Source organism: Homo sapiens, chromosome 7 (assembly GCF_000001405.40).
Source record: "Homo sapiens chromosome 7, GRCh38.p14 Primary Assembly".
In the NCBI taxonomy this organism is placed as follows: domain Eukaryota; kingdom Metazoa; phylum Chordata; class Mammalia; order Primates; family Hominidae; genus Homo; species Homo sapiens.
In genome coordinates this window covers 152,777,215-152,799,937 of record NC_000007.14, presented here as the reverse complement: position 1 = coordinate 152,799,937, position 22,723 = coordinate 152,777,215, and the positions used below count along the sequence as shown (strand labels likewise).

General features: G+C 40.1%; 1 protein-coding gene across 15 annotated transcripts in view; it reads right to left on the bottom strand.

Annotated features, from left to right (window-relative positions):
* The window catches only part of ACTR3B (actin related protein 3B), a 95,627-nt gene that overhangs the window by 55,441 nt on the left and 17,463 nt on the right, over positions 1 to 22,723 (bottom strand). For 8 of the 15 annotated variants that reach the window (NR_146947.2, NR_146951.2, NR_146950.2 and 5 more), the window contains exon 2: positions 16,696 to 16,751. The exons of the other annotated variants lie outside the window; for them this stretch is intronic. Coding sequence is in view for 3 of the 8 variants with exons in the window: in NM_020445.6 (NP_065178.1) it covers positions 16,696 to 16,751 (56 nt within the window). In the remaining 5 variants the exon portion in view is untranslated. The remainder of the gene's footprint in view (positions 1 to 16,695; positions 16,752 to 22,723) is intronic. 15 annotated transcript variants of the gene reach the window in all.

The following is a 22,723-nucleotide window of genomic DNA, read 5'->3' as shown; positions in this document are numbered from 1 at the left end:
ATAATTCATTATTTTAATAAGATCTTAATCTTAAATATTTGGGAATATACTTAGCAGTAAATAATCATATCAATTCACTCCAGACAGCTAATGAAATGTGGAGGGCATCACAAAGATTCCATTTTCCATTGAAATTTCTAACTCCTGCTCACACTCTTGAGCTCTCCCATGAGCTATTTTCATTCATCAGGTCTCGACATCAACACCATCTCCTCACTTGAAGGCTTCCTTGACAACCTGCAGTTCTGCACACGTGTTTGATGCTTCCACTGGCCCTTTTATACCTGCATTAAGGCATTTTTCTGGATGAATTACAATTGTTTAAGATCAGTCTACCAAACTATAGATTCCTTGACATCAGATAACCCCCATCTTTAACTGTCTCTCCAGTGGGAGGCTCTGAAGTCAATAACTAATAATAATAATTAAAGTTTACATTTATTGAACACTCTGCTAAGTGTTTCCTTTTGCACACTATTTTATTACATCCTCACAATAGCTTATGAGACAGGTACTATTATCTGCATTTCACAGAAAGGGAAGCTTAACAATCTATCAAGGTCACACAGCTTCTAAGAGACAGACAGGATTTGCACCTAAGCAGGCCACTGGCTATCAGAACAGACATTAGAGAAATATTTGCTAAATTAACATTTTACTCCACTAAAATATTTATTGTGGGTTTGAAAAATGGTCAAACTATACCTAAATAATTCTAACATAAACCTAATTCCATAAATATACTAATGGCTTCTCACTGTCCTTAATGTATTTCTGATGAAAGTACGACTCTGTAGCTATACAAATGTAAATGCTAGATAAAATTTCTCTGAATCAAAATCTTTGTGACTTACTACCCAAAGTGAGGTACAGAGTCAGTACAGTCCTTATCAAAATACCAATGGCATCCTTCACAGAAACAGAAAAAATAATCCTAAGTTCACATGGAACCACAAGAGACCCCAAACAGTCAAGGGAATCTTAAGCAAAAAGAAGAAAGCTGGAGGGATCGCACTACCTGACTTCAAAGTACACTATAAAGCTACAGTAATCAAAACAGCATGGTACTGGTATAAAAACAGACATATAAACCAGTGGAACAAAGAGCCCAGAAATGAATCCATGTATTTACACTCAACTGATTTTACACAACGGGCAAAGTGTAAATGTTACTGGAGAAACTGGATATCCACATGCAGAAGAATGAAAATGAATGCTTATCTCTCAACCATATACAAAAATTAACTCAAAATGGATTAAAGACTTACTTCAATGTAAGACCTGAAACTGTGAAACTATTAGAAGAAAACGGTAAAATGCTTTATGACATTGGTCTGGGCAAGGATTTTTTTGGACAAGACCTCAAGAGCACAGGTAACAAAAATAGATAACTGGGATTACATCAAACTAAAAATCTTCTGCACAGCAAAGAAAACAATCAACGGAGTGAAGAGACAATCTATAGAATGGGAGAAACTATTTGCAAACTATCTACCTGACAAAAGATTAATAATCAAAATATATAAAGAACTCAAACAGCAATAAAAAAACAAATAACCCAAGTGAAAAATGAGCAAGAGACCTGAATGGACATTTCTCAAAAGAAGACATACAAATGGCCAACAGGTATATGAAAAAATGCTCAACATCACTAATCATTGGGGAAATGCAAATCAAACCCACAATATCAATCAACTCACCCCACTGAGAATGGCAATTATCAAAAAAGCAAAAGATAGTAAGTGTTGGTGATGATGTGACAAAAAGAGAACCTTTATACACTATAGGTGGGAATGCAAATCAGTAGAGCCATTATGGAAAACAGTATAGAGGCTCCTCAAACAATTAAAAATAGAACTACCATACGATCCAACAATCCCACTACTGGGCATATATCCAAAGGAAATGAAATCAGTATGTTAAAGAGCTATCTGCACTCCCATGTTTACTGTAGCACTATTCACAATAACCAAGATCTGGAATCAACCTACGTGTCCATTAACGGGTGAACAGATAAAGAAAATGTGGCTTTATAAACAGTGGAATACTATTCAGCCATTTAAAAAAAAAAGGAAATTCTGCCATCTGCCCACAACATGGATGAACCTCGAGGGCACTATGTTAAGTAAAATAAGCCAGGCACAGAAAGACAAATATCACATGGTCTCATTCATATGCAGGATCTTAAAAAGTTGATCTCATAGAGGTAGGCTATAGAATGGTGGTTACAGGGGGCTGAGGCTGTTCGGGGATGGGAAGGACAAGGAGATGTTGGTCAAAAAATACGTAACTACAGTTAGATAGGAGAAATAAATTACAAGAGATCTAGCATACAACGACGTGACAACAGTTAATGACGATATATTGCATTCTTAAAAAATGTAGAGTACGTGTTATGTGCTCTCACCACAAAAATGATGACTATATGAAGTAATGCATTTGTTAATTAGCTAGATTTAACCATTCACAATGTATATATACTTCAAAACATCATATTATACACGATAAAAACACACAATGTTATCTGTCAATTTAAAAAATTAAAATCAGAGCCAGCTGTGGTGGCTCATGGCTCATGCACGTAATCCCAGAGACTCAGGAGGCTAAGGCAGGAGGATAGCTTGAGCTCAGGAGTTTCAGAACAGCCTGGGCAACATAGCAAGACCCCATCTCTAAAAAAGCTAAAAAATTAGCCAGGCACAATGGCACACATGCCTGTAGTCCTAGCTACTTGAAAGGATCACTTGAGCCCAGGAGGTTGAGGCTGCAATGAGCTATGATAGCCCCACTGCACTCCAGCCTGTGCAACAGAGTGAGACCCTATATCAAAAAAGTTTAAATTTTTAAAAACTGTTTTTAATTAAAAAAATTTTTTAAATCCTTGTGACTGAATTTCAGGAGAGAGTAAATAATGTTTCTAGGCCGGGCACAGTGGCTCACACCTGTAATCCCAGCACTTTGGGTGGTCGAGACAGGCAAATTGCTTAAGTCTGGGAGTTTGAGATCAGTCTCGGCAACACGGTGAAAACCCGTCTCTACAAAAAAAAAAAAAAAAAAAAAAAAAAAAAAAAAAAAAACACAAAAACTAGCCGGGAGTCCCAACTACTTGGGAGCCTGAGACAAGGGGATTGGGAAATTGAGGCTGCAGTGAGCCATGATCACGCCACCACACTCCAGCCTGGGTAACAGAACAAGACCCAGTCACAAACAAAACAAACAAACAAAAAACAGTTTCTGATATGAACTAATTTCTTCAAACAGTCCAGCCAAGTTAATTTTTCTGCACAGCTACTTCATGAATGAGCACACAGACTCTGAAGTTATGAAAACCTAGGTTTGAGCACTTACTAGTTAGCTGACTTGAGGAAAGTTATTATTAACCCTCAGTGCTCTCTCCTCCAAAATGCATATACCACTACCTATCAGGGTGGTGAGTATTAAATGGAACAATGTTTACAAAGTGTTTAGCAGAGACTGTGGTAGAGAATAGTACTCAATAAACAATATTATCTATACCAAATTGGAGACCAAATTTGTGACTGGCGGAACTGAACAGGTACCCAGATACAACCATTCCAGAGAAGAACTGAGAAAAATATTATGTTTATCCAGCAATTCCACTTCTAGAATTTCATTCTAAAGAAATAATCATTGAGTAAATAAAAGTATATACACAACAACACTCTTTGTAGAACTAATTATAATAGCAACAAATTGAAGGAGGAAAGTTAACTGACCTGAAATCAGAGATCAGGTAAATAAATTATATCAAATCCTTAGAAAGAGCTGCTAAGGCCGGGCGCGGTGGCTCACGCCTGTTATCCCAGCACTTTAGGAGGTCGAGGCGGGTAGATCACCTGAGATCAGGAGTTCAAGACCAGCCTGACCAACATGGTGAAACCTCATCTCTACTTAAAAATACAAAAATTAGCCAGGCATGGGGGCGGGCGCCTATAATCCCAGCTACTTGGGAGGCTGAGGCAGGAGAATCACTTGAACTTGGGAGGCAGAGGTTGCAGTGAGCCGAGATCGCGCCACTGCACTCCAGCCTGGGTGACAGAGCAAGACACCGCCTCCAAAAAAAAAAAAAACAAGAGCTACTAAGTTGCCTTTCAGAATAACCACAGTATGACTCCACTTCAGACAGAGTTGCACGGGTGTGTTTAATGTAAATTCAGAAAAATAAGATGGCCAGACAAAAGATTAATACTGGTTAACCATGGATGGTAGAGCTACTGGTGACTTTTGCTTCTTCTACTGGATATATTGGTTTTTCAGCTATTAAAAAGAAGCTAAACAAACATAATAAAAGTAAAAGCTAATCTTTTGTTTGTGAGCTAAAGCATTTACCCTGTTACCTCTCAAAGTCATTTACCTTTAATGCCTCATTTCCAAATGAAAAGTTTTCAAGGTAAGTCAGGCTATAGAATTTTCTCAAACAGAGAGCTATTAAGCTAGCTAGAAATTTATATTAGAATTTGTTCCAAGACAAATTAATAAACATATACAATTATTTCTAAAAGTAGATTATCTGGAATCTCCAATTTACTACAAATGAAGAATAACAACACAGCTATAAGAGTGAATTTGAGGCCAGGAGCAGTGGCTCACGCCTGTAATCCCAGCACTGTGGGAGGCCAAGTTGGGCAGATCACCTGAGGTCAAGAATTCAAGACCACCCTGGCCAACATGGTGAAACCCCATCTGTTCTTAAAATAAAACAAAAAATACAAAAATTAGCTGGGTGTGGTGGCCCATGCCTGTAATCCCAGCTATTCAGGAGGCTGAGGCAGGAGAATTGCTTGAACTCAGGTGGCAGGGGTTGCAGTGAGCTGAGATCATGCCACTGCACTCCAGCCTGGGTGACAAAGTGAGACTCCATCTCAAAAAAAAAAAAAAAAGAGAGTGAAACTGAAGCCTTTTTCTCAGAAGGGCATCTTGAGGTAACAGGATAAAAAGGTGAAAAGAAAAAGACACAGGGCAGAAATCACTTTCCCCACCTCCTTTTCTCATTGCAACTCACTGCCACATTTAAAGTCTCAAAGATATCAAATTATAAACAAGTAAAGGACAGAACTTCAGCAGAACTGAAGAAAGCACGAGTGAAGTGGAAACACGGGCTGAAATGAGAAGTGAAGAGGACATTGGAGATCTTGGGCTGAACATGGGCTAGAAAAGTCTTGTGGGCCACGACGACTGAGGTGATCTGTAGAAATAGATAACATCCATCTCTGACCACACCATTCAATGGCACACTGACTGACACCACACAGAACCATCTGATGTACAAGTTTGGTATTCCAAAGGGCCACTGCCAATGTGCCAATACAAGTGACAGATCCTATCCTCTAGGCAAGATCAAACTTAATTGTGTGTGAATCCAGAATTAAACTGTCAAGTCAATATAAAAGATTGTAAAGATAGCCGGGCACAGTGGCTCACGCCTGTAATCCCAACACTGTGGGAGGCTGAGGTGGGCAGATCACAAGGTCAAGAGATCGAGACCATCCTGGCCAACATGATGAAACCACAACTCTACTAAAAATACAAAACTTAGCTGGGCATGGTGGTGCGCACCTGTAGTCCCAGCTACTCAGGAGGCTGAGACAGGAGAACTGCTTGAACCCAGGAGGTGGAGGTTGCAGTGAGCCGAGATCACGCCACTGCACTCCAGCCTGGCAACAGAGCAAGACTCTGTGTAAAAAATAATAATAATCAAAAAGAATAAAAATAAAAATAAATTAAAACACATATACACACACACAAAGTATACTTCTTTTAACAACTATAGAGGAAGCAACTGTATCCATGCAAGAGAATAAAAGTATATAGAGCTTATATTCCAAATATTTTGTCTATACCTATGGAACAAGATGTGGCCCAAACAGTTCTTATGAACACAATGGAGAAATCTGTCTAAATAATCTATGTCACCCAAGCTATCTCTAGTACAGCACAACATACCACAGTCCCCACTTCCACCCCAGCCCAGCAGTAACATGGAGCTCCTCCCCAAGTGAGTGTCAACAAAGGCCAAAAGGAGAACCTCAACTTTGACCCCCACACTGGCAATAATGAAGTGGTATCCCCATTCCCCTGCTGGAGTAGTGTCAGAAAAGACTTGCTAAAACACAAAATTAAAATAAGAACCTCATAACATAATACCCAAAGTATCTAGGTTTCCACTTTAAAACTCTCACCATGGCAAAAACCAGTAACATCTCAACTGAAAAGAGAAAAGACAATGAATAGACAATGCCACCGAGATAACACAGACATTATAATTATCAAACAAGGATTTTAGGAGCCATCACAAAATGCCTCAATGAGCAATCTCAAATACTCTTGACTCTTGAAACAAATGGAAAATAAAAGGAAGTCTCAGCAAGCAAATACAAAGCCACAGCAAAGAAACAAGATATAAAGACAAAACCATATGGAAATTCTAGAATTAAAAATCACAATAACTGAAATAAAAATCTTAAGAGATGGCCTCAACAGAAGAAAAGGACAGAGGAAAGAAACACTGAACTTGAAGACAGAATAACAGACATTACCCAGTCCAAACAAAAGAGAGAAAATAGACTGGAAGAAGTAAAAAAAAAAAAACAGAGCCCAGAGCCTCAGGGACATCTGGGATATATAAGAAAAGATTTAGCATTTGTGGATTACAATTCCCAGAAGGAAAAGAGAAAGAAGGCAGGACCAGAAGGTATGCAAAGAAACAATGGCTAAACTGCCAAATTTGGCAAGAAAAAAAAAAGGGAAGAGAAAAAGAAATAAACTAATAGATTCAATACTGAACAAACCCCAAATAAGTTAACCCGAAACAAAACAAAACAAAAAAAATCCATTCCAAAACACATTATACTCAAACTTCTAAAAACTAAAGACCAAAAAAAAAAAAAAAAAAAATTCAGCTTCTAAGGACATTTCTCATCAGAAATCTTGACACATACACACCAAAAAAAAAGGTACCACAACATTTTTGTGCTGAAAGAACTGTCCATCCAGAATTCTATGTTCAGCAAAAATATCCCGAGAATAGAGCAAATCAAGACTTTCCGTTGAAATAAAACTAACACAATTTGTCAACAGCACACCTACTTCAAAAGAATGGCTTGGGATGTTCAGGCAGTCCATTATTTTTGTTGTTGTTGTTTTTGTTTTTGTTTTTTTGGTTTGTTTTTGAGATGGAGTATCGCTCTGTCACCCAGGCTGGAGTGCAGTGGCGCAATCTCAGCTCACTGCAACCTCCACCTCCCAGGTTCAAGCAATTCTCCTGCCTCAGCCTCCCGAAATAGCTGGTACTACAGGTGCACGCCACCACACCCAGCTAATTTTTGTATTTTTAGTAGAGACAGGGTTTCACCATGTTGGCCAGGATGGTCTCAATTCTTGACCTCATGACCCGCCTGCCTCTGCCTCCCAAAGTGCTGGGATTACAGGCATAAGCCACCGTGCCCGGCCTATGTTTCTTTAATTAAAAAAAAATAAATAAATATTAAAAAGAATGGCTAAAGGAAGTTCTCTAAAGAGAAAAGAAATGATAAAAGAAGGAATTTGAGTACATCAAGAAAAAAGAAAGAACAATGGAAAGAGCAAAAATATGGATCATAATTATTTTCCTTTTCCTCTTGCGTTTTCTAAATTATGTCTGGCAGTTGAAGCAAAAATTGTAACTGATGTGAATCTCATGAGATTCAATGTATATCGAGGAAAGATTTAAGACAATTATATTAGAAATGGGGGGCCAGGCACAGTGGCTCACACCTGTAATCCCAGCACTTTGGAAGGCCGAGGCAGGTGGATCACTTGAGGAGTTTGAGACCAGCCTGGCCAACATGGTGAAAACCCATCTCTACTAAAAATACAAAAATTAGCCGGGCGTGGTGGTGGGCACCTGTAATCCCAGCTACTCAGGAGGCTGAGGCAGGAGAATTGCTTGAACCCAGGAGGCTGAGGTCACATTAAGCTGAGATCACACCACTGCACTCCAGCCTGGGCAACAAAGCGAGATTCTGTCCCAAAAAAAGGCACACACTGTATGAGTAGTAGCATTACTGCTGAGTAGTATTTAGTGTATGATGTACTACTGTCAGTTTAAATATTAATCTATTGAAGAACATATATTATGGAGATGATAAAATTATAGAGATGAAAACAGAGTAGTGGTTAGGAACAGTAGAGGGAGAGGAGTAAGTGTAATTATATAGGAATAGCACCAGAGAGATCTTGGTAGTGAGAAAATAATTCTGTAACTTTATTACAGTGGTAGTTCAAGGAATCTACAGGTAGAATTACAATGACATAGAACTATACACACACATTGTACCAACATCCGTTTCCTGGGGCTGGTCTGTTTTTGTTTTTATTTTTTAGAGACAGGGTCTCACTTCTGGTTATAATATTGCACTACAATTTGTAAGATGTAACCTTTGGGGGCAAAATAGGAAAAGTGTACACAGGATCTCTCTAAACTATCTTTGCAACTTCCTATTAATCTATAATTATTTCAAAATAAAATATTTTAAATACAGAGTTTATAAATGACTTAAACTAGAAAATAAAACACTTCAGCTATAATGATGAATCAAAACTAAAAAGATTAAACTTAGTAATAAAGAACAATGGGCCGGCACAGCGGCTCACGCCTCTAATCACTTTGACAGACTGAGGCAGGTGGACAGCTTGAGGCCAGGAGTTCAAGACCAGACTGGGCAACACAATGAAACCCTGTCTCTATTAAAATTACAAAAATCAGCCGGGCATGGTGGCACACGTCAGTAATCCCAGCTACTTGGGAGGCTGAGGCAGAATTGCTTGAACCCAGGAGGTGAAGGTTGCAGTGAGCCAAGATCATGCCACTGTACTCCAGCCTGGGCGACAGAGCAAGACTCTGTCTCAAAAAAAAAAAAAAAAGAACAATTATTTTTTCTAACAAGCTCTGCAGTCAAAAAAAATTGTGTTTGGGTATAGGATTATAGGATGTGGGTTACCAAGAAAAGACATGACTACTTTCCTAAATGCCAAAAAAGCCATCTGAGGGCAATCTAAGGAAGGTTATCGAGAAGACTGTATCTAAGGACTTAAGACACAGATACTTCAGAACATTTGCTACAACAGTTGAGAGACACAACAATAGTAATTTTTTAATCCAGTATATTTCTCAAAAGACTGTTAGATATTTTTACTAAAGCTTGAAGGAATAAACAATTCCTATCTTATGCAAACTGTTCCAGAGAATAAAAAAAGAAAGCTAACAAACTCATTTTATGAAGCCCATATAATCCTGATACACAACCAGACAAAAACAAGAAATCAAAATTACAGTCCAATCTCACTTTTGAATATTGATGCAAAGTTCTCAAGTAAATATTTGCAATTACAGTTCAGCATGTACTTCATATTTCATAGCCAAGTAGGATTTATCCCAAAAATGAAATAATTGTTCAATCTGGACAAGGTGGCTCATTCCTGTAATCCCAGTGCTCTGGGAGGCTGAGGCAGGAGGATCACTGGAGGCCAGGAGTTTGAGACCAGCCTGGGCAACAAAGAGAGACCCCCATCTCTACAAGAAGAAAAAAAAGAAAAGAAATAACTGTTCAATATTCGAAAATGTATTAAAGTAACTCCTCCTATTAAGAGTAGGTGGGGTGGCTCACACCTATAATTTCAACACTTTGAGAGACCAAGGTGGGAGGACTGCATGAGCCCAGAAGTTCGAGACCAGGACAGGCAATATAATGAGACCCCATCTCTATGAAAAATTTAAAAATTAGCCAGACATGATGGCTCCCATGTGTGGTCCCAGCTACTTGGGAGGCTGAGGTGGGAGGATCTCTTGAACCTGGAAAGTCAAGGCTGCAGTGAGTCATGATCAAGCCACTACACTCCAGCCTTAAAGTACAGTGCCTCAAAAAAAAAAAAAAAAAAAAAAGAAAGAGTACAAATGTCCAAAACCATATGATCATCTCAATAACAGAAAAGCTTTGACTAAATGTCAATACTCACTGTCATTCATGATTTTTTTAATTAAAAAAAACCCTCAGATTAAACTAGGAATAGAAGAGCACTGTTTTAATCTGAAAAAGCATTTCCACAAAAACCTACAGTTATCACTAGTAGAGTACTATAATAAAATCCCATTCTCTTTAAAGTCAGAAAGTCAAAAAAGCACCTGCTGTCTGCAGTTCTGATCACTATTTTAATAGAAGTTCTAGCCAACACAGCAAGACCAAGAAAAGAAACACGAAGTGTTAGAATTGGAAGAGACAAAATAACCACTATTTGAAGGCAATACAATAGTCTGCATAGAAAACTTTAAAGAATCTGCAGACTGTTAAATAAGAGAGGTCAATAAAGGTTGCTGGATTAAAAAAAAAAAATCTTACAAACCTCAGTAACATTCCCATATGCTGGCAATTATGAATTAGAAAATAGAATTTTTAAAATATTTTGACGACAGCAACGAAAACTTAAAGGTACCTAAAAATAAAGCTAGCAAAAACTATGGAAGAGTTGTCTTGGGGTTTTGCTTGTTTTTGAGACAAAGTCTCACTGTGTCACCCAGGCAGGAGTGTAGTGGCACAATCACAACTCACTCCAGCCTCGATCTCCTGGGCTCAAGCAATCATCCCACCTCAGCCTCCCGAGTAGCTGGGACCACAGGTGAGCGTCACTACACGTAGCTAATTTATTTTTATTTCTGGTAGAGACAGGTTCTCACTATGTTGCCAAGGCTGGTCTCAAACTCCTGGGCTCAAGCAATCCTCCCACCTCGGCCTACCAAAGTGCTGCAATTACAGGTGTGAGCCACTGTGTCCAGCCCTCTGTGTACGAGTGTAAGGGCTTTGTTGTTGTTGTTGTTGTTTGTTGTTGCTGTTTGTTGTTGTTGTTGTTGTTGTTGTTGTTTTGAGACAGCGTCTGGTTCTGCTGCCCAGGCTGGAGTGCGGTGACGCAATCTCAGCTCACTGCAACCTCGACTCCCAGGTTCAAGCAATTCTCATGCCTCAGCCTTCCAAGTAGCTGGGATTACAGGTGTGAGCCACCACATCCGGCTAATTTTTGTATTTTTTAGTAGAGACAAGGTTTCACCATGTTGGCTGGGCTGGTCTCTAACTCCTGGCCTCAAGTGATCCACCCACCTTAGCCCTCCCAAAATGCTGGAATTACAGGTGTGAACCACTGCGCCTGGCCTGTAAGAGCTTTTTAAAGAATACTTTAAGGCCAGGCGCAGTGGCTCACTCCTGTAATCCCAGCACGCTGGGAAGCTGAGGTGGGTGAATCACAAGGTCAGGAGTTCAAGACCAGCCTGGCCAACATAGTGAAATCCCGTCCCTACTAAAAATACAAAAATTAGCTGAGCATGGTGGCGTGCACCTGTAGTCCCAACTACTCGGGAGGCTGAGGGCAGGAGAATCGCTTGAACCCGGGAGGTGGATATTGCAGTGAGCTGAGACTGTGCCACTGCACTCCAGCCTGGGCAACAGAGCAAGACTCCATCTCAAAAAAAAAAAAAAAAAACTTTAGAACATTAGAACACTACTGAAAAACACGAGAGACATGAATAAACAATAAAACACATATACCATCTTCAAGGATAGGAATACTCAATTCCTATCCATGAAAGTCAAATTTGACGTCAAATTTTTCCCCAATTAATCTATAAATAATAATCAAGGCCGGGCACAGTGGCTCACACCTGTAATTCCAGCACTTTGGGAGGCCAAGGCAGGAGGATCATGAGGTCAGGAGTTCCCAGACCAGCCTGGCCAACATGGTGAAACCCCATCTCTACTAAAAATACAAAAATTAGCTGGACGTCTCTACTAAAAATACAAAAATTAGCTGGACGTGGTGGTGGGTGCCTGTAATTCCAGCTACTCGGGAGGCTGAGGCAGGAGAATCATTTGAACCTGGGAGGCGGAGGTTGCAATGAGCCAAGATCACGCCATTGCACTCCAGCCTAGGCAACAAGAGTGAAACTCCATCTCAAAAAAATAAAAATAATAATAATAATAATCAAAACCCCATTATAATTTTCATGGAACTTAAGCTGATTCTAAAATGAACACTAAAGAGTAAGAGCCAAAGCTATTCTGAGAAAAAAAATGAGTAGGAATCGAACCCACTAGATTAAAACATGATAAAGTAATAGTGTTTAACACTGTGAGTATGGAACGTACGGAACACAGATAAATACATCAATGAAACAAAAGACACCGAAAACATTCCCAAGCATAAATGGTACCTCGATATGATCAAAGAGGTGTGCCAAATGGGAACACACTCTTTAATAAATAGTGTTGGGACAACTAGCCTTCCGCATGGAAAACAAAATTACCTATCTCCTTCACACCATACTCACAAATTAACTTAAAATTTTCTTAGAAAAAATATAGAAAGTCTTTATGACTTTGGAGTAGAAATGCATTTTTTAAACAGAAACAAATTATAAAAGAAAAAGACTGAAAAGTATTACTATATCAAAATTTTAAATTTCTAGATGATAAAAGATAATTTTTAAAAATGTCATAGAATAAAAAAGTATCTGCGAAAAATTCATATTTAACCTCTACAAAGAGTTCCTATAATTCCATTTAAAAATGCAATAGAAAAATGGGCAAAGATATGAACAGGCAATGAAAGGTGCTCAACCTTACCAGTAATCTGAGAAATAGAAATTTTTTGAATGAGCCATCATTTTACATTCATTAGACTGACCAAAATGTAAGTCACACAATACCAATTATCAAGAATCTATGAAACAGAAACTCTCACACACTGCTGATGGGATATCCATCAGAACAGCCTCCTGGAGGAGTAACGTGGCAATACCTAATTAGGTGTTGCCTAAGGATGAAGGGGTGTACGCTCTGTGACAAAACAATTTCTGATTATTTCCTCTCAGGAAACTAGCAGATACGCATAAGGAAATTTTTACTGCACCATTTTATATAACAGAGAACTGTGAAAAATGCCCAAAAGGAAAAAAACTGTTGTATATTCACGTTAGAATTCTGATGTGGATCTGTATGTATGATAAAAACATAATATTGAGGGTTTTTCTTTTTAAAGACCATGCAGAAAGTTATTTACAGTGTGATACCATATTGGAAATGTATGAACTCACAAAACAATGTATCTTTGTACATGTAATATATGGATAAAAATGGAGTAGAAACACAACCAGAAAATATCCACCAGAGGAAAGAAAAGAGGAAAAGAAGAGAGGTCTGATACTCAACCTATAATGTGCCATTTATTCATTTACTCTGATACAGAGATGAAATATGCAGTAATGACGTGTTCATTCTTGGTGGTGAGTCCATGGGGTTTTTTGTGTGTGGGGTTTGTTTGTTTTTTGTTTTTTTTTTTTTTTCGAGACGGAACCTCACTCTGTCCCCCAGGCTGGAGTGCAGTGGTGCAATTTCGGCTCACTGCAACCTCCACCTCCTGGGTTCAAGTGAGTCTCCTGCCTCAGCCTCACGAGTAGCTGAGATTACAGGCACCCGCCACCATCCCGGGTTAATTTTTGTATTTTTAGTAGAGATGGGGTGTTGCCATTTTGGCCAGGCTGGTCTCAAATCCCTGACCTCAGGTGATTCGCCCACCTTGGCCTCCCAAAGTGTTAGGATTACAGGCGTGAGCCACCGCGCCCAGCCCACTGTTATATTTTCTAGCTGCAGCCTAACTCTCTTCCCTAGGCCTTAAACCTCTTCACACCTGAACTCTTCCAATATTGAATGTCTAAAATGTGTGCCCTTTTTCTCAGCCCCTCGCTGCTCCTCCTCTAGCCTCTTTCTACACCACACATTCTCTGATCACCACACATTCTCCGCCTGAAGCTGCGGCAGGACCACCAATATCCTCCAACGACTTAAGAAAAAAAAGTAGGGAATAACTTTCTTCAAGCAACCAAGCAAATTCTGCACAGAAGCTCCAACAAACCAGACATAAGCAGAGCTGCCCCTGGAGGCAGGGACGGGGCTTGAGGATTCTCTAGTCCAGTGGGCCAGGCCCCAGAGAGAAGCCTCAAAAACAGTCTGAAAATTCCTGGTATGCAAAATAAAAACAGAATTCCTTAAGAGGACACTTGCAAGTCCCTTGCCACCCAGTCCTTCCCCACAGGTCTCCACCTCCTGGCGCTCTCCCCACCATCCCACAGCACCCCTGCTTCTCCACACCCCCACAGCACCTCACCTCCATGCCACGCAGAGAAAGTCTTGCTCCAGCACTCAGCACACACATCCACACACTTGCACAAAATGGTTCCACTCCCAGCCCCAAGACACGCAGCAGGCCAACTGTCCACGGTGACCCAGGGCCTCACTTCCACATCTCAGTATCCTCACTTCTGCCCGAACATCTTCTAACCTTGACTCCTGGGGCCCCTCTTGCCTCTCTTCTCTCTCTTCTCTCTCCTCTCTCTCTCTCTCTCTGTCTCTCTCTCTCTCTCTCCCTCCCCCTCCCCCTCCCCCCTCTCCCCCCTCCCCCTCCCCCTCTCTCTCCCTCCCTCTCCCTCCCTCTCCCCCTCCCCCTCCCCTCCCCCCCCCCTCACAACAAACTCAGCCCAACAATGTAACTGTTCTTTTACTCCCACCTCTTTGACATTTGTATTATCCTCCTAGCTTCTGCGACTGCTAAGGTTCTGACAGCTGCAGCCTGAGAGCTCTCCTGCTTTTTGACAGTGAATGAAATCCTGATAATAACTGTCTTCGCTTCCCGTCTCTATTAATGATGACAGGTTAAATGGGGCAGCCAACTGAATGCTACCGACAGCTTTAAATGGCAACACATTAAAGCAAAAGGTGCAAGGTCAGCCTTTTATAGCTGTCGCACTTAACAAGGTTAAAATCTAATCTTCTGCTTTGAAAAGTCAGGGAGTTCAATTTATCAACTCAGCATGGAATGATCAGGTTCTGGGGCATTCACATTAATGAAATTCACAAAAGACTGATTCATCCTACAGAACACCAATTGTCATGGACTGAACCATGTCCCCACAGAATTCACTACGCAGAAGCCCTAACCCTCAATGTGACTGTATTTGGAGATGAAACTTTTAGAGAGGTGGTTGGGGTAAATGTGGGGTCCCCATCAATAAGAGTGGTGGCCTTATCAGCAGAGAAAGAGACACCAGCGAGGTCCCCAGCAACCCCACACACTGACACAGAGATGAGACCATGGGAGGACACAGAGAGAAGGCAGCCCTCTGCAGGCCGTGGAGAGAGGCCTCACCGGAAACCAACCCTGACAGCACCTTGATCTTGGACTTGCAACCTCCAGACTATGATAACATTAATTTCCCCAGTCTTTAGTATTTTGTTATGGCAGCCCAAGCACACTAAGACACTCATTTCTGAATTCAAAATGAGGACACAGCAGACCAATCATGCCTGTCATCAGGATAACCCATTCATGGCAGCAGAGCGTTTAGATCTAGAAAATCACATTCATGGCCAGTTTTTCAGCAAGCAAGGAACCGGAATGAGGTTACTTAAATGTTCTCAAAGAATCTGGAGTCCGCTTTCTAGTGATGTGAATACCCACATTCACCAAATAGAGCTTTAGCCCTCCCCGAATAAGCACTAATCAAGCACCTTCTCTCCAGCTGTTTTTTCCCTGTCGACGTTCCCCACTGTTCACAAAGCCTGTTATTACAACATCGTGGCCCCCTAAAAACTTACAATTTCTAAAATCACAACTTATCTTATTAGAGCTACATGTAGAGAACAGAGTTTCACTTTCTCTTGATTAATACATCCTACTCTTTAGAAAACTGTTTCCAAATAATAACCTGAAATACAGATAGTTCCAGGGAATCCTATCTTTTTTTTTTTTTGAGACGGAGTTTCACTCTTGTCACTCAGGCTGGAGTGCAGTGGCACGATCCCGGCTCACTGCAACCTCCACCCCCCAGCTTCAAGTGATTCTCCTGCCTCAGCCTCCCGAGTCGCTGGGATTACAGGTACTTGCGACCACACCCAACTAATTTTTGTATTTTTGATAGAGACGGGGTTCCAACATGTTGGTCAGGCTGGTCTCGAACTCCTGACCTCAGCTGATCCACCCGCCTCAGCCTCCCAAAGTGCTGCGATTACATGCGTGAGCCACCACGCCCAGCCAAGAATCCTATCCTTTAACAACCGACTAACCTCGGGAAGACTCCTACAGGAAATAAAGAGTGAGTAGAACGCCCCATGCCAAACTGCAAGGACACTTCTGTTATTCTCTACTGATTAAAACTTAAACAAAAACAGAATACTACTAAACACAATAAAAACAGTCATCAGGCCTATCATTTCCACCAAAAAAAAAAAGAATCTTTCGATAGAGTGAATAGTGTAGTACAAGAGATATTCAGTCCATTAAGTTACTAAGCTAACAGACTGTATGTACTTAAAATTACAAATTTACCTTAAAGACCAGATATACTTTTTCTAGGCAGTTCAGGCATTTATAATTGAATAAATGGACCCTGCTGACTATCCAAGCTGAGATTCCAACGACAGTGACAAGGGGCTTTATCAGAATGGAACAGAAGGACTAGAAAGTTGTGGGGTAACCAGAACGGTCTTCTAAAAGAAGATGGTAAGTACATTAATATACCTTGAAAAACAGAATCAGAACACTTAGAACAATTCTGAGAAACACAAACCTTTATAAACCCAAGGATAGAGCTTTACTTACATGAAGGAATAATGAACTGGGGCTCAGTGTTGCCTGCGTAGCCAAGCTTGGTATACCTAAAAGCACAAAGTCATCAACACATGTTTAGATAATAATACTCTCGTCTATATTGGATTAATGTCTTTTATTATAAGCTCTCCAAGTCCTAAAATAGCAAGCCTCAGAATACTCCTTGAAATTAAAAAAAAAAAAAAAAAAACTTGTGATCACTGAGAATCAAACACTAATTTCAAAGAAAGCAGTTTTGCAAAAACTTAAAATATTATGCTTGTTTCTAGTAGAAAAAAAGAAACACATATATACTAACATATAAATTACATTTATGCATCCCTAATAACTTTAAAAGTGCTTTTACACTCTATCTTTACAAAAACCCTGTGAAGAAAGTAGAAATTATCCCTGTTTTGCAAATGAGAAAAGGGAGGCACTGAGAAGTTGATTAAACTGCCCACATTAGTGAACTGCAGAAAAAGAACTCCCATCTACATATGCAGGCTAATTCCAACACTGGCTCTCTAAGAAGTGTACTTACTTCCTAGAACTTTTATACAAACTTCCTGAACTTTGCGGGGTGGGGGGCGGCGGTTAGAAAATGATTATATAATTTTCTTAAAATGTCATGGCATATGTCTAAGAAACAGCTACTGCCGTCTCCTGAGAATCATCTGACAAGAGCATCTCTTTATCATCTCATTTCAGAAGGAGCCCATTTTCTGTCAAGACACTGCATGATAGATTCCAAAAGTCTTAACTAAAACAAATGCCAAAATACTACTATCTGTTCCAAAAGCATTTGCTAATCTCCTAAATATAAAAGGGGGGGTGGTGGGAAAAAAAACCACCACTCAGAACCATCTGCTGGAAATAAAGTTGAAACGCGGTAAGTAAATCGAGAAGACTCATCAGCGCTTCCTTTCTTATTAGGACTACTCTAATTAACAGTAACGTCTGGACAACCAAGCCGTCATTCTGTAATAATGCTTATTATTATTATTTCAACACTGCTAACACCAGCAGTGTTGAAACTAACTTTATTCATTCAATTTTAAAAATTATTTCAATATGCTTAATATTAAATTTTTGATCCGGTAATATTTCTAAATTCTAATAAATTAATTTTACGATTTTTAAGTATGGTTTACCATATGCTAATTTTACTATTTTTGAACACACAGTGAATGGATAAGGTCTGGGGAAACCAAAAAAAAACAAGTCAGCTCCCCTCAAATCACACATTGCTGCTCAACTTCCACAGGACCTGAGGTCTTCGTGCCACAGGAGCCAGGGCAATGCCAAGTCCTGAGACTCCTCAGGCCTACAAGGAGCTTCTGGAGGCAAGACCCAGGTGAAGCCCTCTCCAGCTCCACAACTCAAGAGCTGGAAACAGAGTACAAGGCCAAGTGGACCTACCACAACTCCACTCCGGGGTTCCACCTACAAGGTAGAATTCAGAGCCAACCAAGAGCCAACCCAGGGTGGAGGCAATAGAGAGCCTGACCTTTAGAATTCCAGATCCTTCCCAATTTTAACATATTTCTGGAATTATATTCCAGAAAATAAATATAAATAAGTGAATTACTAACCCAAGGCTAAAGATGCCTATGGAATCCAACAAGCAGACCAGAAATCACTAAAATCATCAAATCTGTGTCTTTAACAAGCTACATCAGCTACTTCCCACAAAAATGATGCACCTTATGCTTAAATAAATCCACCTTCCCACACTGTTAGACTATGAGTTCCACACGCTGCCCAGAACAGGGTCCTTTCTCATGGTTATATCTACACCCCCGGCACAGTGCCTGGCACATGGCAAATACTCCAGAAATAACAGCTCAATGTATTCTCACCAGTTGTAAAAAAGGTAATCATTGTCAAACCGCCAGCGGAAGGACCAATATTTGCAAGAGGGATGCTGAAAGTCAGAAAAAGAATCTGATGGAACCAGAAAAAAAAAATCACAGATATCATCTCCTACAATCTCCTACTTAAAGAGGAGCAGTGGTCTATGTGTAATGGGTTTCAGAAAAAAAAAAAAAAAAAAAAAAACCACTGAAACGAATATGGTAAAGCGTTAACATTTATTAAAATTAGGTGCTAAGTTTCATTCAGGCTATTATATCATCTTCGTATTTTGAGTATCCTATACTGGTTAAGATCATGCACTTTGGCACCACACTGAGTTCAAATCCCAGCCCCACTATTTGCCAAATGTGTATCTTTGGGCAAGTTACTTTACCTATCTGTATGTCAGTTACTATAAAATGGGGATAATAGACTGAGGCAAGAGGACCCGTTAAGCCCAGGAGTTCGAGGTTGCAGTGAACTATGACTGCCCCACTGCCCTGTAGCCCGGGTGACAGAGCGAGATCCTGTCTCGAAAAAAAAAAAAAAAAAATCTGAAAAGTTAAAAAAAACAAACAAAAAGCAATTTGTTCTATATCCCAAGTGATAGCATTCATTCTTCCCACTGTGCACCATGGACAGTTTAATTTGTATAGTGGTGAGAATGAAATGTATGAAACAAATGGTAAATCTAGTAGATACCTGATAGGCCTTCAACAACTATGCCTCATTTCCATCCCAAAGTTTTGTACCCTGAAATCATAACTATGGCCCACAGCAGGAAAAGGTCAGACTACAAAAACAGACTTGAGCACTGTTAGGCTCACAACTCTAAAATTCAACTAAACACTGATGATACGACTCAGCAACAGCTGCTGGAATGTTCAGATTCTTAAGTCACAACATTCTTTTAGACAGTATAGTCTTGGAAGGAGGTCTCTGTCAAAGTCACACGGGTACCTTAAGTATCAATGACATTAAGCCAACAATGATTTTCGTGACCGAGGCAAACTAACATGAAGATATATTAATTTTTTTTTTTTTTGAGACAGAGTTTCGCTCTTTCGAGCAGGCTAGAGAGTGCAGTGGCGCGATCTCGGCTCACTGCAACCTCCGCCTTTCTGTTTCAAGCGATTCTCCTGCCTCAGCCTCCTCAGTAGCTGGAATTACAGGCGCCTGCCACCACACCCGGCTAATTTTTGTATTTGTAGTAGAGATGGGGTTTCACCATGTTGGCCAAGCTGGTCTCAAACTCCTGACCTTGTGATCTGCCTGCCTCAGCCTCCCAAAGTGCTGGGTTACAGGCGTGAGCCACCGTGCCTGGCCCTAATATTCTTATGTGTTAACAACTTACTATGAGATCCTTACCCTCCTAGCAGAACTGACGTTATTTTTAAAAACACTGGCAAAAGCACAAATTCTTCAGATCACTTTATTCTAATATAATATCTTTCCATTTTCCTGGGCTATTCCTTATATATTAATAGTATCAAATGCACTTGAAGTTTTGTTACTTTGAATAATCATAATGTAACAAACATCAAACAAAATCTGAGACATTCAAATTTAAAATTTTAATAAAATCTGCACCAACATAGGCTCATCCATCACTAACTTCAATGACAATCTATTAAATATAACTCAGTAGATGTCATCTAAAAAGTACGCATCCTCAAATTCTTTCCCAGGAGGAGAACTCAATGCTAGACTGGCCTGCCCCATTAGAGATGTTAACATCACAGCTCAATGCCATGAAGAGCAGGACCAAAAAAACAAAAGCAAAACACAATTCTTAAATATGGCAAGTGCTCAAGACACCATTTACCAAAAAAAGAAACGTTCCCTATTTCAACCAGTTTACTAGCTAGTAACAATGTAGCAGGCACTGTACTAGTCACTGAGCCATACTCAGACTGAGGATAGGGGAGGCGGGTGGACATGGCCCAGGTCCTCAAAGTGTTCCTCAAAATGTTTACCTATTAGTTACAGGACTTCAGATTGAGTTTTCCAGTTGTAGCATGGCTTACTTTACCTGGAAGGCAAGTTTAAGATCTGGGTAGGCATCAAGGAAGAATAAGCCACATGTGGCTGACCAGATCACCTGGGAAACTCCGGAAACAGATTCCCAGGGGCTGTGCGCGATTCACTAAATGGGAATCTCCAGAGAAGGCTGGGCATCTGTGTTCTTAACACCCCTCGCTCACCCGCATGGTTCTGGTGGTCAACCAGCTTAGAACTCACTGACCTCAACTACGCCACATGAAGTCACCTTTAGCATTTTTATATAATGCAAGCTTCCTCACTGTCACATTATACCACAACCTTCTTCCACCCACCACATTTAGCACGATATGTCTATAATACTGAAGTTTAATACTGGTCAGAAGTTCAGAAGAAATAACTCATATGTCCTTTTTTTTTTTTTTTTTTTTTTTTTTTTTTTTTTTTTTTTTTGGAGACACAGTCTCACTCTGTCACCCAGGCTGGAGTACAGTGGTGTGATCACGGCTCACTGCAGCCTCAACCTCCTGGGCTCAAGTGATCCTCCCACTTCAGCCTCCCAAGTAGCTGGGACCACAGGCACAGGCCATCACACCCGGCTAAGTTTTTTTTTTATTTTTTGTACAGAGGGGTCTTCCTATGTTGCCCAGATTGGTCTCAAACTCTTGGGCTCAAGGGATCCTCCCACCTTGGCCTCCCAAAGTGCTAGGATTATAGGTGTGAGCCACCGAGCCCAGCTACCAAATGCAGCAATTTTGTCTTATTATTTAAAACACTGTGTGTTTAGGTACTCTATGAAAAAAAATAATGTAGGAAATGCTTTTCAATTCAAACTATGCAATTAAGAAGTAGTGAAAAAAGGCCAGGCACAGTGGCTCACACCTGTAATCCCAGCACTTTGGGAGTCTGAGGTGTTGGATCACCTGAGCTCAGGAGTTCAAGACCACCCTGGGCAAAATGGTAAAACCCCATCTCTATACTAAAATACAAAAAATTAGCTGGGCATGGTGGCACGTGCCCGCAGTCCCAGCTACTCAGGAGGCCGAGGCACAAGAATCGCTTGAGCCCTGGTGCCACTGCACTCCAACCTGGGCAACAGAGTGAGACTCTATCTCAAAAAAAATAAAAAATAAATAAAAAAACATAAGTAGTAAAAAAAAAAAAAAAAATCTAGGCTCAATCCAGGAAAGTAAAAAACTTAAGCTAAAAAGGGAAAGATTCCTTAGGAAGAGATAATGGCAGAAAAAAAAAATCTCAAACCAAAATAAAATGAAACACTAGAAGAATCCTTATTGAAGCCAGAATTAAGCCAAGGAGATCTACTATCATTATTCTGATTTTACACTGTTAGGAAGAATTAGATATTACAAATCAAAAAGAAAAGAGTAAATGAAAAGGATTTTGGGAAGAAAGAGGAGATTAAAATTTAATTCTTTTTTTTTTTTTTGAGACGGAGTCTTGCTCTGTCACCCAGGCTGGAGTGCAGTGGCACAATCTCAGCTCACTGCAACCTCCACCTCCCATGTTTGAGCGATTCTTCTGCCTCAGCCTCCTGAGTGCTGGGACTACAGGCGTGCACCACCACGCCCGGCTAATTTTTGTATTTTTAGTAAAAACGGGGTTTCACCACGTTGGCCAGGCTGGTCTCAAACTCCTGGCCTCAGGCGATCCACCTCGGCCTCCCAAAGTGCTAGGATTGCAGGCGTGAGCCACCGCGCATGGCAAATTTCATTCTTTATAGATGATAACTGTATACCTTGAATAACTAAGGAGATTAAGTGAAAAACTAAAGCAATAAGGGAATTCAAAAAGATGACCAGTTACTAAATGAATAGACAGAAATCAACAACTACCCTGTCTAACAATAAGAACATATAATGGATGAAAACATCCCACTCAGAATGGCAACAGCAATAGAATGTTACCCTTAAGAATACACCACATAACTACATGAATAAGCTATTACTCCTACCCTTAAAAATAATATTGCTCTTTAAATAAACTCTCTACATACAAGCAGACAAACAGAGACATGCCTTAATCTTACACAGGAAGAGTCCGTTTTGTTTTTTTTGTTTTTTGTTTTCTGGTCAATTGGTTCAGGAGGAGGAAGAGTCAATATTTTTTAAAGAAATATTGAATATCACTAAATCTACCTACAAATTTAATGCAAAGCCATTCA